The 14095-nt window shown below is 55.1% G+C and overlaps 1 protein-coding gene across 2 annotated transcripts, besides 1 other annotated feature; it reads left to right on the top strand.

Annotated features, from left to right (window-relative positions):
* Window positions 1-39: 39 nt before the first annotated feature.
* Window positions 40-12991, top strand: NUTM2D (NUT family member 2D). Of its 2 annotated transcripts, none has more exons than NM_001009610.2 (7): window positions 40-727; window positions 2777-3476; window positions 5434-5562; window positions 6535-6674; window positions 7117-7499; window positions 7985-8101; window positions 9630-12991. In NM_001009610.2, exons 1-7 carry the CDS (start codon window positions 562-564, stop codon window positions 9666-9668), a joined length of 1674 nt encoding a protein of 557 aa, NP_001009610.1. In that variant the 5' UTR covers window positions 40-561; the 3' UTR covers window positions 9669-12991. The 2 variants fall into 2 exon arrangements, with proteins under 2 accessions (NP_001009610.1, NP_001369233.1); NM_001382304.1 differs by lacking the exon at window positions 9630-12991 and adding an exon at window positions 8435-9491.
* Window positions 2180-2681: an enhancer, noted in NCBI's record as "H3K4me1 hESC enhancer chr10:89119641-89120142 (GRCh37/hg19 assembly coordinates)". NCBI's record gives its function as "activates a minimal SCP1, AML or CMV promoter by ChIP-STARR-seq in primed H9 embryonic stem cells {active_cell/tissue: H9 hESC(primed)}" and the evidence as "EXISTENCE:reporter gene assay evidence [ECO:0000049][PMID:30033119]".
* Window positions 12992-14095: the final 1104 nt, after the last annotated feature.

Below are 14095 nucleotides of genomic sequence, written 5' to 3' on the forward strand. Positions count from 1 at the left end.
TCTTTCCTGGATTGAGGCTTTCCAGCAAAGGGGCTGGGACGTAAGGCTGGCCTGCTGGTGTGGACAGAGATTCCAGCAACATGCATGACCTGGGGGTACAAGGATTGCTTCCTAAACAATGATAAGCACACAGCCACCTAATAGTCTGGATCGGCTGAGACCATCCTGATTTCAAACACCCAGTCCCCTTGCCTTCCTAAGAACCCCTGTGTTTCTCAGACTGAAAATGTGTTTTGAACTTTGTTCACGAAGTGAGGCCGCTGTTGAAATTCGTCAAGACTGGGAAAGAGCCAAAGTGGGAAGGAGCATGGGTTGATTGGCACAAAAGTAGGTCTGCTGATAAAGAATGGAAGTAAAGGGGCCATCAGGTAGAAGCTTTTGCTGTGAGTCAGAAGGACAATTTAAAAGTTGCCTAAAGAGGCACACGCCATCTCTGCTGCTGCCTTCCAGTTGGAAGGGAAACTCAGGTTCTTGCCTAATGGCCGAAGCCCTTCACAGAATGTCCCCCACCCCTAACAGCTGCCCACTGCCCCTCCCCCTCTGCAGAATGTCTGGGGTCCTATGTTCCAGGAACCTGTTTACTTTCAAATTTTCCTGTTTCAGTTGGACTCAGGAGCATCTGGTGAGCCAGGTCACTCTCTGGGTCTTACCCTTGGCTTTTCTCATTGTGGAAACTGCCAGACAGCGGTAGTCAGTGCCCAGCCTGAGGGGATGGCTTCAAATGGAGGTAAGCCTGTAGGGATGGGGGCATTATCTGAGTCTGCCATGCCTCAACTCCTTAGGAATTCAAATTTGACACTGCCCCGGGGACAGTTGATAGGGCTGATGTTGAGGAGGGAGGGAAGACTGGATGTCCCCAAGGACATCACACCTGGGGATGGCCATGGCACCCTGAGTCTGTGTTTAGGGAGGACGGCCCCTTAGAGGTGGAACAAGATGCCTGGGGGAATACACCGTGTAGGAGAAAGGACAGAGTGGATGGATTGATCCTTTCTAGAAGGAGACAGGTCACGTCATTGTGTGTTTGTAGGGAGTGGTGGGATCATGTTGTGCTGGTGGCCCCGGGAGGATGATAGGCAAGCCTGAACCCTGTGCCATATCTTCAGGCACCTGGAAGGTGCCCTTCCATAGTGTTCAGAGAGATTTGGACTGGAGTTTTCTAGATCTTAGGGAGGAGTGGGGAGAAGTGGTCTCAGCCAGAAAACTGTTGGGTGGGTTGGCTGTGACAGAGCATGTAGTGACAGCCCCTGGGTGGGCGAGGCTGGGGGCTGCTGTAACTGCCACAGCCCAGAGCCCCTCAGCTCTCTCCCTAGAGATGGCTTCTCCATCAGTTCAGGTAGCTGTTGGCTTTGATTTAACAGGGGTGGGGGCAGATGAGGAAGTTCAGGCAACACAGGGCCTGGGTTTCCTGAGTTGTTCTGAATTGTTTGCCCTTTTGTGGAAGCTCAGGTCTTCAGACCCACTTCCTCTTGTCTGCTAGCTCATGGCCTGTCCTCTGCACTTTGTGTTACTGTGGAGATGAAGAATTTGCTCCTATTCCATTTATACTACCTCATGAACGGGGGGCAGGTGTGGATTCTTGCTGGTTCTCAGTGGAAGGGTCTGGAAAGGCTGGTTTCCTTTTCAGTAGAGGAAGGAGAGTAGCGCACGAATAGGAAGATGGTTCTCTTATTATTATTATTCAAGTTAGGATACGTGTCCTGAATGATGAGGTGCATGTGCTGTATCCCTTATTCCCCTTGACTAGAGACTGCATGAGGTCCTATTGAACAGGGATGAGTTCCAGACAACTTTGCCTCACCCGGCCCATGGCCCAAGAACCCCTGGTTTTTGGTTGGTCACTATGTTCAGTCATTGGGAGCTCAAAGGAGAAGGGCCAGGGATGGGCTCCTTGTCCCACTACCTATTGTAACATGACCAGCAGCTGTGAAAATCCCTAGACACCTCCCCTGTTAGCTCTGCTGCTCGCCATTTGCTGGCTGTGTTCTAATCGTGTGTGGCTTTTGCTGGCTATGCAGTGACACTGTCTCAGGGGACTCCACCACTGCCTCTCAGACCTGCTCCCTGGGAACAGAGCTTCCTGAGTGGCAGCCGGGACCATCGAGTACTGCGGAAAGGGTGGCCCGAATCTGACCCCTATTTAGCACTTGCTGTGGGTGGTGCCAGGACAATCACTTGCATGCTGGGCATGACAGTTATGGATTATCTTCAGGGTTCCTAGGGCGCTGGCTTGGGAAAGATTTCCATCCAGTGGTTTTGTTTTGTTATGTCTGAGCTGGGAAAGAAAGGGGTTTACAAGAGCGTCAGGAAAAGGAAGATTGAAGAGGAGATGGGGCCATAATATTCGGAAGCTTCTGGCTTCCTGTCGGCCTTCTGAGTGCCGAGCACTGCCCTGGGGTAGGCCCCTCACCTGTTGCTGAGCACGCTGAGGACCACCAAGCCGCTGAGAGACTCATCCCTGACCCATGGCTTGGGAGATGCCTGTGAGGCTGACAGGGTCTGCCAGGGACACCCGAGGGAGACCCTCGGGCAGCGAAGGCTTGGCTGTTACTTCTTGGGAGACAGGGGTCAGGGAGTCTTGGTGACCGGGGCCAGGCTCTCTAGTGGAGCGACTCTCCGTGGAGGAACAGAGCATCCGATGCACACTCAGGGACATTTGCAAGCTGCAGTTTCCCTGTCATACGCCCTTAGCTGTTGGGACTCCCCTCTGATTCCCCAGTGACTAGTGTGGACCTGGAGACCCCAGCTCATTCACCTCTTTCCTTTGTCTCCACAGCATACCCAGCGCTGGGACCGGGCGTGACCGCGAACCCTGGCACCTCCCTGTCTGTGTTCACGGCTCTGCCCTTCACCACACCCGCTCCCGGCCCAGCACACGGGCCGCTCCTTGTGACTGCAGGGGCTCCTCCAGGCGGCCCTCTGGTGCTGTCTAACTTCCCCAGCACACCTCTGGTGACAGAACAGGATGGCTGCGGCCCGAGTGGGGCCGGGGCTTCCAACGTCTTTGTCCAGATGAGGACAGAGGTGGGGCCTGTGAAGGCCGCTCAGGCGCAGACCTTGGTCTTAACTCAGACCCCCCTCGTCTGGCAGGCTCCAGGCGCCCTCTGCGGAGGTGTTGTGTGTCCACCTCCCCTACTCCTGGCAGCTGCTCCTGTGGTGCCTGTTATGGCTGCCCAGGTGGTTGGGGGCACCCAGGCCTGTGAGGGAGGCTGGTCCCAGGGCCTTCCTCTTCCACCACCACCACCACCGGCTGCCCAGCTGCCCCCCATTGTGTCCCAAGGGAATGCTGGGCCATGGCCACAAGGGGCTCACGGAGAGGGCAGCCTGGCTTCCTCCCAGGCCAAGGCCCCGCCAGATGACTCCTGTAACCCCAGGAGTGTCTATGAGAACTTCCGACTCTGGCAGCACTACAAGCCCCTGGCCCGGAGGCACCTTCCCCAGAGTCCTGACACCGAAGCGCTTTCGTGCTTCCTCATGTGAGTGTCCTGGGGGCATTGGAGCTGGTCCTGCAGCTCACACGTAAAGAGGCTGCTGGATGGACGGGAGGTCACGCTGTTCAGGGGAGCTTGCAGGGCGGTTGTGAGGGTGATGGGCTGCACTATGGGAAGGTACATTTTCAACAATATTAATCTGGCTGCGGCTCAGGACAGACTGTCAGGGGCCTCATCTCAACTGCCCGTCACTGTCTCGTGAGTCCAGCCAATCCTTACTTTCAATAATTTTCACAACAATGTTTACAGAAGACCCAGGTCAGAGAGGGTTCCTGGTGTGACGTGAGCTACGGTTTGGGTTTAGGTCTTTGAGTACACACCCCAGTGCCTCCCCTTTAACCCAGTATTGATGGCCAGGAGCACCTCACATGGGGCCGGGGGAAGGAGCTGCAGGGCCCAGCAGGAACCTGGCACATGCCCGCAGTTCCGCTGAGGTCCAGTTAGCACAGCGGTGGTGGAGCCTGCACAGGGGGATGGTCTTGGGTCCTGCACTGGGGCCGATGCCGGGCAGGTATTTGCATCTTCACCCTCAATCCCTCCTAGAAAAAGGGACAATGATGCTTCATTCAGAGGATGGTGAAGAGATAACTTGAGCTCACATATGACATGCATAGCACAGTGCCTGGCACATGCTATGACACATTACATGATAGCAGTTATGATTACTGTCCCCATTACTATCATTATCAAGACTAGGCCATCTAGGAGAGCACTCCCCAAAGCCACGGGCTCCAGTGATAGCTCTGAGTGCACCATGAGTCCAGCAGCCCAGGGCCATGGACTGTGGTGACTGTGAGGCAGCAACGTCAGCATCTGGGAGAGTTTGTGGTTTCATTCCCAGTCCCTGCCTCTCTCCACCCTGCGGTGCCTCTGTGACCCTGTGTTTCCCGCTGATGAGCAAACGGGAGCTTGAGCACATCCACCGTGCAACACACTGGCCGTTCCCCTAGGGAAGTCCCCTGCCTGGGGTGTAGGTGGAAGGTGGCCCCATTTTCATCCCCCAAAATCTCGCTGTTCCCGCACCCTGGAACTGGTTGCATTCCTCCTTGGAGCGGAGTCCCGGTGCACTGGGGACCCTGATTCTTGGGGTGGAGCTGCCCCAGGCTCACAGGCCTTTGCCATGGCTCCTGTGGGAATGTGGGATCTGGACCTGCTGCTTGCAGTGGCGTGGACACCGCTCTGCTTTGGTTCTGGACGTGTGCTCCTGCTCCTCATGCTCCAGGGCCCTGAGGCTACGTCCCCAGGGGCTGCCTTGCTCCAGAGTCCCCAGGAAGCCGGTTAAATGCTCAGTCTTGGGGCCCTGGAACCTGCACTTTAACCCTCACCCCCAGGTCATTCTGTGTGCACGCTGTCTCAGTCAGCTCAGGCTCTGCCGTAACGAATGCCGTAGACTGGGTGCTTTATCAAGACACATTCATGTCTCCCAGTTCCAGAGGCCAGAAGTCCCAGATCAAGGTGACAGCAGATTGGGTATCTGGTCAGGGCCCTCCTCCTGGCTGGAGAGAGCTGTCTCTGGCTATGTCTCCTCGTGGCTGAGAGCAAGAGCCCTGGCGTCTCCTTCTGCCCTTATCAGGGCTTGGATTCCATGACTGGGACCCACGCTCATGACCTGCTTTAACCCTGATTGCCTCCAAATACTGACACACTGGTGCTGAGGACTTCAGCACAGGAATGTTGGAGACACACATGTTCCACCCATAGTACTGAGTCCACTTCTCAACACTGAGGACTCGAGGGGCAGTCGGAGAGGCCACTTGGTAGCTTGTGTTGATGTTTGATCTTGGGGGTGTGTCCTGGGGCCTGAGGAGCCCACATGGGGGAGAACAGGACAGGGACAGATGGCAGGACAGGTGTGGGGAGGACAGGGGCCAGGTGTTGGGACCAGGTGGGCTTGGGATGAAGGGTGGGCTTATAGACTGAGACTGACTGCACTGGTTTACAGCCCAGTTCTCCGATCCCTGGCCCGGCGGAAGCCCACCATGACCCTGGAGGAGGGACTGTGGCGGGCCATGCGGGAATGGCAGCACACGAGCAACTTTGACCGGATGATCTTCTACGAGATGGCGGAAAAGTGAGTCTGGGGTCCTGGGAGCGGGGCCCGCGTGGCAGGGTGAGAGTGAATGACAGAGGCCCGGTGGCCATGGTGGCTTCTCAACGTGGAGTATGAGGAGGGTGTGGAGAAACCCAGGACACTCTGGGCCCCTGGCTCCCTCAGGAAGCTGCTCCTGCCACCTAGAGTGTTCTGGGGTCTCTGTCCTGGCCTATTGGGAAGCACCCCCTGCCTGGCCTGGGGCCATCCCTGCCTTGACACTGGAGGTCATGGCAGGAGCAGCCAGCATCACAGACCAAAGTGGGTCACCTCCAGCTGTGGGGATGGGGAGAAGGGGCGCTAGTGACTATGGACAAGAGTAGGGTGCAGGCTCCTCACAGCAGTGGCCAGAAGTCGGTTTTCTCCCATCCCAGCCTGGCCAGGGAGTTGGGTTGGGGAGACCTGCACCTGGGACACCATGGGACCCATCTCTGGCCTGACTGCCTTTGCTCCTGGGCAGTCCCCTCCATGAAGGCAGACAGATAGACAGCAGCCTCAGGGGAAAGGGGCCCTGTCCTCTGAGCTCAGCTTTTGCTTCCTCCTGACCAGGGGTCTCCCAGGCCTCGTGCCCCTGGGTTATCTTTCAGGGGCCCACAGTCCTAGCCTCAGGACTCCTGCATCTGGGCATCATCCCTGATGCCTTCTGCCATAAATCCCACCCCTGGCCAGCTGAAACCTGGAGGAGGGGTCCCCCGAGACCCTCCTGGACCTCGTGGCCCTGAGTTGAGTCAGGAAGCCCCGTTGATGCCATGGGCTCTGCAGGGGCCGGGTGAGGGAGGGTGAGCCCAGAACTCTGGGAGCAGCTTTCTCCTGGGACTGGGGGATGGGACACAGTGAGGGCCTGGACAGCCCACCCGAGGCACTCCCTCCCATCCCTGCCCTCGGCCGCTGCCTGGTCCTGGGGGGAGGGGGCCTGGACCCTCTCAGCACAGCCTGGGCCTCCTTCACCGCCAGGTTCCTGGAGTTTGAGGCTGAGGAGGAGATGCAGATTCAGAAATCGCAATGGATGAAGGGGCCCCAGTGCCTGCCTCCTCCAGCCACACCGAGGCTTGAACCTCGAGGACCCCCGGCCCCTGAGGTGGTCAAGCAGCCAGGTATGGCTTCCCACATTCCCACAGGAGCCATGGCAAAGGCCAAAGGGGCCAAGGGAGGCCACTGTCCCCACACCCCATGCTTCCCTTCGAGAGGGGGATTTGCTCCCTCCAACAGGACAGTTTCCAGGAGCATATGTTCGGTATTGACCTGGTCAAGTTTCCTAGCTACTCTCTCCCCTCGCCTGTCCAAAACTCCACATATGCTCTGCCCAGGAAGCAGGGATGAGCGGGGAGAGTACACGGCATATTGGTGGCTCCAAACTTCCTCCCAAGCGATGCTGTCTCAGATGTGCCCCTCCTGCCTCCTCCGGGGGTGCTGCGGTTCAGGTGGTCCTGACCCAGCTGGGACCCACTTCACATCCCCAAGCCCTGCCCTCCCCTGTGTGGTGCCAGCAGGAGGAGCGGCCCTCACCACGCCCGTCCTCCTCCCTCTCTGCCTCAGTGTACCTTCCCAGCAAGGCCGGCCCCAAGGCCCCGACTGCCTGCCTGCCACCACCCAGGCCCCAGAGGCCAGTGACCAAGGCCCGCCGGCCACCACCCCGGCCCCACCGGCGAGCAGAGACCAAGGCCCGCCTGCCACCACCCAGGCCCCAGAGACCAGCAGAGACCAAGGTCCCTGAGGAGATCCCCCCAGAAGTGGTGCAGGAGTATGTGGACATCATGGAGGAGCTGCTGGGGCCTTCTCTCGGGGCCACGGGGGAGCCCGAGAAACAACGGGAAGAGGGCGAAGTGAAGCAGCCACAGGAAGAGGACTGGACGCCCCCAGACCCGGGCCTCCTGAGCTACACTGACAAGCTGTGTTCCCAGAAAGACTTCGTCACCAAGGTGGGCTGGCCTGGAGTGCTGGGGTCTGCTGGATTCCAGGGGGTGGCACTCCCAGGTCCTTGGAATTAAGCTCTGTTCCTTAGCTACTCAGCAGTGTGTGTATTTCCAAGGATTTGAGTGTCTGTGTATGTGATTGTGTGTGTCTGTGTGTTGCTGTGTGTTTGTGTCTGTGGTTTGTTACTGTGTGTCTTTGTGTGTCTGTGTGGGTGTGAGTGTGGAGTGTGTACGTTACCTGTGTCTGTGTCTTTTCCTGTGTCATATGTGGGTCTGTTTGTGTGTCTGTGTGTGGTTTGTGTGTCTCTGTCTGTGTGTGTGTAGCTACCAGGTCTGTGGTCTGTGTCTGTAGCTGGTGGTCACCATGATATGAGACAGCCCCAGGAGGGTGGGGACGGGGCGCTCGCTGCTTTCTGCATCTCCTCCAGGTGTCCTTGGCTCCAGGTTACTCCCTGCCCAGGAAGCTCACGCCTTCTTCCTTCTGTTTCCAGGTGGAGGCCGTCATTCATCCCCAATTCCTGGAAGAATTGCTTTCCCCAGATCCACAGATGGATTTCTTGGCCCTAAGCCAGGAGCTGGAGCAGGAGGAAGGACTCACCCTTGCCCAGGTACCCCAGGGGCAGGAGGGACCTGGCACACAAGGCCCACCTGATTGTCTAATCCCCCCCGCTGGGGATGCTCGGCTTCTTGGGGAGCCACTCTGGAGTGGGAAGATGCAGGTTCAGAGGGAGTAGGATGGACAGGAGCCAGGGAGGGGAGTCAGCATGCAAGCTGTGGTGAGGCCCAACGGGAGGCCCGGCAGAGCCACACCCTCTCTCTTTGACATAAAGCCCAGCTGCCTCAGGCTTCCCTACCTGCCGCCTAAGTGCCCTGGTCTCCACCACCCTGGGCCCCGCTCACACCTGGGGCAGTGCCCGTAAGTGCCCCCTTTCCTCCCGCAGCTAGTGGAGAAGCGCCTCCTACCCTTGAAGGAGAAACAGCATGCGAGGGCAGCCCCTAGTCGTGGCACAGCCCGGTTGGACTCAAGTTCTTCTAAGTTTGCAGCTGGCCAAGGAGCAGAGAGAGACGTCCCTGACCCCCAACAAGGGGTTGGCATGGAAACCTGCCCACCCCAGACGACTGCCCGGGACTCTCAGGGACGAGGCAGAGCACACACTGGCATGGCCAGGTCCAAAGACTCTGTTGTGCTTTTGGGATGTCAGGATTCCCCTGGGCTGAGGGCTGCCCGGCCAACCTCTCCTCCCCAGGACCACAGACCCACCTGCCCTGGCGTGGGTACCAAGGATGCCTTGGATCTCCCTGGAGGGTCTCCTGTCAGGGAGTCACATGGGCTGGCTCAGGGGTCAAGTGAGGAGGAGGAACTCCCCAGCCTGGCCTTCCTCTTGGGTTCCCAGCACAAGCTTCTGCCCTGGTGGCTACCCCAGAGCCCTGTCCCTGCCTCGGGCCTTCTCAGCCCAGAAAAGTGGGGACCCCAGGGAACTCATCAGTCCCCATCTGCTGAGAGAAGAGGCCTCAACCTAGCACCTTCTCCTGCCAACAAGGCCAAGAAGCGACCTCTCTTTGGAAGCCTGTCCCCTGCTGAAAAGACACCCCACCCAGGGCCTGGGCTCAGGGTCTCTGGGGAGCAATCCCTGACTTGGGGGCTGGGTGGCCCCTCACAGTCTCAAAAGAGAAAGGGTGACCCCTTGGTCTCCAGGAAGGAGAAGAAGCAGCGTTGTAGCCAGTAGGGGCTTCTGAGCAGGCTCTCTGGGGCCGATCCCCAAGGATGGGGCTCTGGCATCCGATGCCCCAAAGCGGTCAAAAGCTTCTTCTCCCCCAGTGCTGATCTTGCTGGGCCTTAGCTTTGGAGGGTAGGGGAGGGAGGGGAGGGAGAGGGTGGCCTGAATGGGGAGGGCAGGAAGGGAGGGTCTGGGGGGAAGGGGCTGGGGAGTGGGGGTGGGAAGCAGTGTGTTGGGGGCCTCGTGTGTAAGTGTGAATAAATGTAGTTGTCTTGGAAAATGCTCTTGGGGCTGCTGCCTCTGTCCTCGGTGCTGTGCTGCTCCGTGGAGGGTGTCTGTGAGGGAGGGCAGAGGAACTGGCAGATGCCAGGCTCTGGGAACCCACAGAGGCCGGCCCCACTCTTTCCTCCTGACGTAGGGAGCCCCTTCAGATGCTCCAGGGACTGACAGATGCTGAGGAAGCCCTGATCCCTCCCACCACCCACTCACAAGGCCCTGCCTGCTTTAGGGAGGCTTCTTGGGGCCCCCTCATCGTTATCAGCATCCCTGGAAAATCCTGGGATTGGAGAGAGCTGGCTGGCTCTTGTTCTGCTCGGTGGGAGCTGAGGAGAAGGCAGCCGCCTGCAACATGGACATGGGGAGAGGAGGCTGCTCCTGCTTAACCCTCATCAGGAAGAGCGCGGGCACTGGGCTGAGGGGAGACGTTGAGGTGACCATCCACACAGGTGTGTTTGGGATACGATGATGGGTGGGGAGCAGGGGAAGTCCTTCTGCCTGTTTCTGGGCAGGAGAGAGTCTTGTCCAACTAGCTAAAGCAGATGCTCCTTGCTGTGGCCACAGGGACTGGCCTCGGGGCCCTCAAGGTCCTGCATGGAGCCCCCCACAGCTATGATTCCCTTCCCATATGATGACTGAACTCATGTGGAATTGATGTAGACACAGATTTACATTGGTTTCTAAAACAGTTCCCTCCCAACACACCATCACCAATGGGAACAAGCATGTCCAGTCCATCAGGCGCAGGGTGGGGGTTTCTGCTGGTTCCAGGGCCCGGAGGAGCTGGGGCCCAGGCCAAGAGGGGCCGAGGGTCAGCCGCCCTTCTGCCAGGCACAGACCCCAAGGGCAGAGCAGGGGCTGCCTGGGATGTGGCATTGGCTGTCTGGGAAGTGCCCTGGGAGTTGGGGGCTAGGTGTTCGCCAAAGGGAGACTTCCAGAGTCTATGAGTGAGATGAGGACTGCATCAGGAGAGGGACCGAGGCTGGGGAGGATGCTCTGCTCTTTCCCAGGTTGTCCTGTCTTCCCAATCTCTGCTGAACTGCCCTCACCCCATGGGCCAACTCTGCCCCCCTTACCCCTAACCCACCTCTTAGAATCTCAGATCCCAGCGTGGACAGGACCCGGCACCCACCCTGGTTCCCTCCTGGCCAACACCTTCTTCTCCACGGTCTGAGTTCTGATTCCTCCCCCAGGGCGCTTATTGGCTCAGGACCCCTGTGACTGCCAGGGCACTGGTCCCAGCACTGCCTGCGTGCAGAGCTGTGGTCACGGCCCTGGGGGCTGGCCCAGCAGCAGAGGCTGGTGGGGCAAAGCTGTCTGGTACACGGTGGCCTGGCCCCTCGGCCAAGTGACAAAGGGAGCCATGTTTGGGTCCTCTCTGGCCCCATCTGCCCACAGAACACAGCAGTCAGCCTGACAGATGCCCCTCTGCCCCGTCCCTTCTGCTCGATGTGGGCAGTGTCGGAGGCCTGCTGTCTTCTGTGGCCTTTGGGAAGGAGAGTTTATCTTGGCAGGGCTTCCCCAGCTCAGTGCACGTCAGGCCCTCGGGGAAAATGTGGGGAGCGAAGAGTCACTGGTGGGTGATGTGGGCAGCTCCCGTGACTCCTCTACATTCACGGCCATCCTCAGGAGATAAGGTAGCACTGCCCCTTTGCAGGGTTTAGGAATGTTAAGTGAGCCGTGTTTGAAGGGAACATGGTCCATACTCTGGCGTGTGTGGGTGCCCAGCCAACTTCCTCACCTAAGGGTGAAAGTGACACCTTGGGGCTCCTGCTGGTTACCCCACTGGCTGTTGTCTATCCCACTGTCCCTGTCCTTGTCTTGGCTGAGCCATTCCTAGGAAGCAGAACTTGTGCTTCCTCCACCTCTGTGTCCCACCTGAGCCCTACAATCTGCCCCTAAATGGGCACAGTGGGGCTGACTGGGGGGCTCTGGTAGACTGAACATACGTCCCCCGCCCAGTTCCTGTGCTGAAGCCCTAACCCCCAACGTGATGGTATTTGGAAATGGGGCCTTTGGGAGTTATTCAGGGTTAGAAGAGACCATGAGGGTGGGGCCCTAATGATGGGATTAGGGCCCTGGTAAGAAGCAGAGACCCCAGAGCTCTCTCTCTCCCTGACACGAGGACACACTGAGAAGGCGGCCATCTGCAAGCCAGAGAGAGAGCCCTCACCAGAACCTTGCCCACTGGGATGCTAACCTCGGACTTCCAGCCTCCAGACTGTGACAAATACATTTCTTTTTTTAATATGTGCCACCACCCCCAAGTCTATGGCCCTTTGTCCGAGCAGCCCTATGTGACTAGGACAAAGTCCATAATCTCAAGAACTTCCTTCATGACTGGTATCTGGAAACCGTGCATCAGAGCCACGGGAAAGAAAGGCTCAGCCCTTTACAACTGTCAGCACACCTCCACCCCAAGTGCAGTGTATCACACATGAACCAGGAGAGCCTGGGACACAGTGAAAAGGAATCTGTAAATACCCATGATGTCATCGCATCCACACTTGGGGAAGCCATGCAGCTTGCTCACAGCAGGTGCTGGGGGTGTGCTGAGGCTCTTGGTCGGCTTGGCCTCCCTGCTCACACACCCAGGTCACTCTCTGGGAACCAGTGCGGCTGGGGTGGCCCCTGGCAGGTTTGCCTCCAGAGACCCCTCCCTTCACCATTGGATGACAGATCCCCGAAGAAGCCATAGCCTCCTGGGAAACTCCATCTGACAACGTGAGCAAGGCTTGCCCCCGTTAGTGAACATGCTGTGCTTTCTGACAGCTATGAGGATGGACTTGATCCAGGTGGCTGCCCTTTTGTAGCTCACTTTGATTCTAACTTCAGCGTTGCATGATGCCCTATGAATGGAATATACAATGTGTGTCTTTCACATCTGTCTTCTTTCACTTAGAATAATATTTCCAATGGCATCTACATTTTTAGTATGTATCATTACATCAAACCTTTTTGTTGCTGAATAATATTCCATTAATGGATATACTAAAATTTATCCATTTATCAGTTAAGAACGTTTGGGTTTTTTTCACTTTTTGGCTATTGTGAATAACACTTCTAAGAACATTTGTGTACAAGGTTTCCTGGGGATGTATGTTTCCATTTCTCATGGCTACATACCTAAGAGTGAAATTGGTGGACCATATGGAAACTCTGTGTTTAACCATTTCAGAAGGTGCCAGACTGTTCCCAGTGTACATGAACCATTTTATATACCCACTAGCTGTGTGAGGGTCCCAGCGTCTCTCCATATTCGAGCCAACATTTATTATCAACTCTCTTTTTGATAAAGTCATCCTAGTGGTTCTGAAGTTGCATCTCATCGTAGTTTGCATTTGTGTTTCTCTGATGTTGAACCTCTTTCACGTACCTATTCGCCACTTGTATATCTTCTTTGGAGCAATGTGTACTCAACATTTAGTAATTTTTAACTGGTTTGTGTTTTGTCATTGAGTTATAAGAATTCTTTATATATTCCAGATAAAAATGCTTTACAAGATATAATTTGCAGAAATATTCTCCTTCTGTGGGTTGTCCTTTACTTTCTTGATGGTACTCTTTGAAGCACAAAAGTTTTTACTTTGGATGAAGTCCAATTTATCTATTTTTTCTTTTGTTACTTGTGGTTTTGATGTCATGTTTAAGAAACCGTTAACTAGTCTTAGGTCATGAAATTTATTCCTATGCTTTTTCCTTTTTTAAAAACCATCTTAAACATTTTAAATTGTACAATTTAGTAATGTTATGTATATTCACATCATTGTGAAATTTAGATCTTTAGAAATTTTTTATCTTTCACAACTGAAATTTTGTACACATTAAATACTAATTTTCCCCCTACTCCCACCCCCGGCCCTTGGCAACCACTACTTTATGTTTCTGTGATTTCGACTACCTTAAATACTTCATATGAAGGGAAAGTATTTGTCCTTTTGTGATTGGCTTATTTCACTTAGCATAATGTTCTTGAGATTGATCCATGTTCTAGCATGTGACATGATTTCCTTCTTTCCGTAGGCTGCTTAGTCTTCCATTGTATGTATATACCATATTTTATCCTTTCATCCACCAATGGATATTTGGATTGCATCTCTTGGCTACTGTGAATAATGCTGTAATAGGGATTGTATGGAATTTGTAAATTGTTTTAGGTAATATGGACATTTTAACAATATTAAGTCTTCAAATCCACATGCATGGAGATGTCTTTTCATTTATTTATATACTCTTTGATTTCTTGTAGCATTGTTGTTTTGTAATTTTTAGTGTCCAAGTTGTTTGCCTCCTTGGTTAAGTTTATTTCTAAGTATTTTGTTCTTTTTCATGCTATTATAAATAAAATTGTGGGTTTTTTGTTTTTGTTTGTTTGTTTGTTTATTTGTTTGTTTTTGTAGTAGAGACAGGATTTCACTATGTTGGCCAGGCTGGTCTCAAACTCCTGGCCTCAAGTGATCCGCCTGCCTCAGCCTCCCAACATGTTGGGATCACAAGTGTAAGCTGCCGCACCTGGTCTGAAATTTTCTTCTTAATTTCCTTTCCATATTGGTCATTGCTAATGTATGGAACTGCAATGGATTTTTGTGTGTTAATTTTGCATTTTGT

The sequence above is a fragment of the Homo sapiens genome, chromosome 10 (assembly GCF_000001405.40).
Source record: "Homo sapiens chromosome 10, GRCh38.p14 Primary Assembly".
NCBI classification, from domain to species: domain Eukaryota; kingdom Metazoa; phylum Chordata; class Mammalia; order Primates; family Hominidae; genus Homo; species Homo sapiens.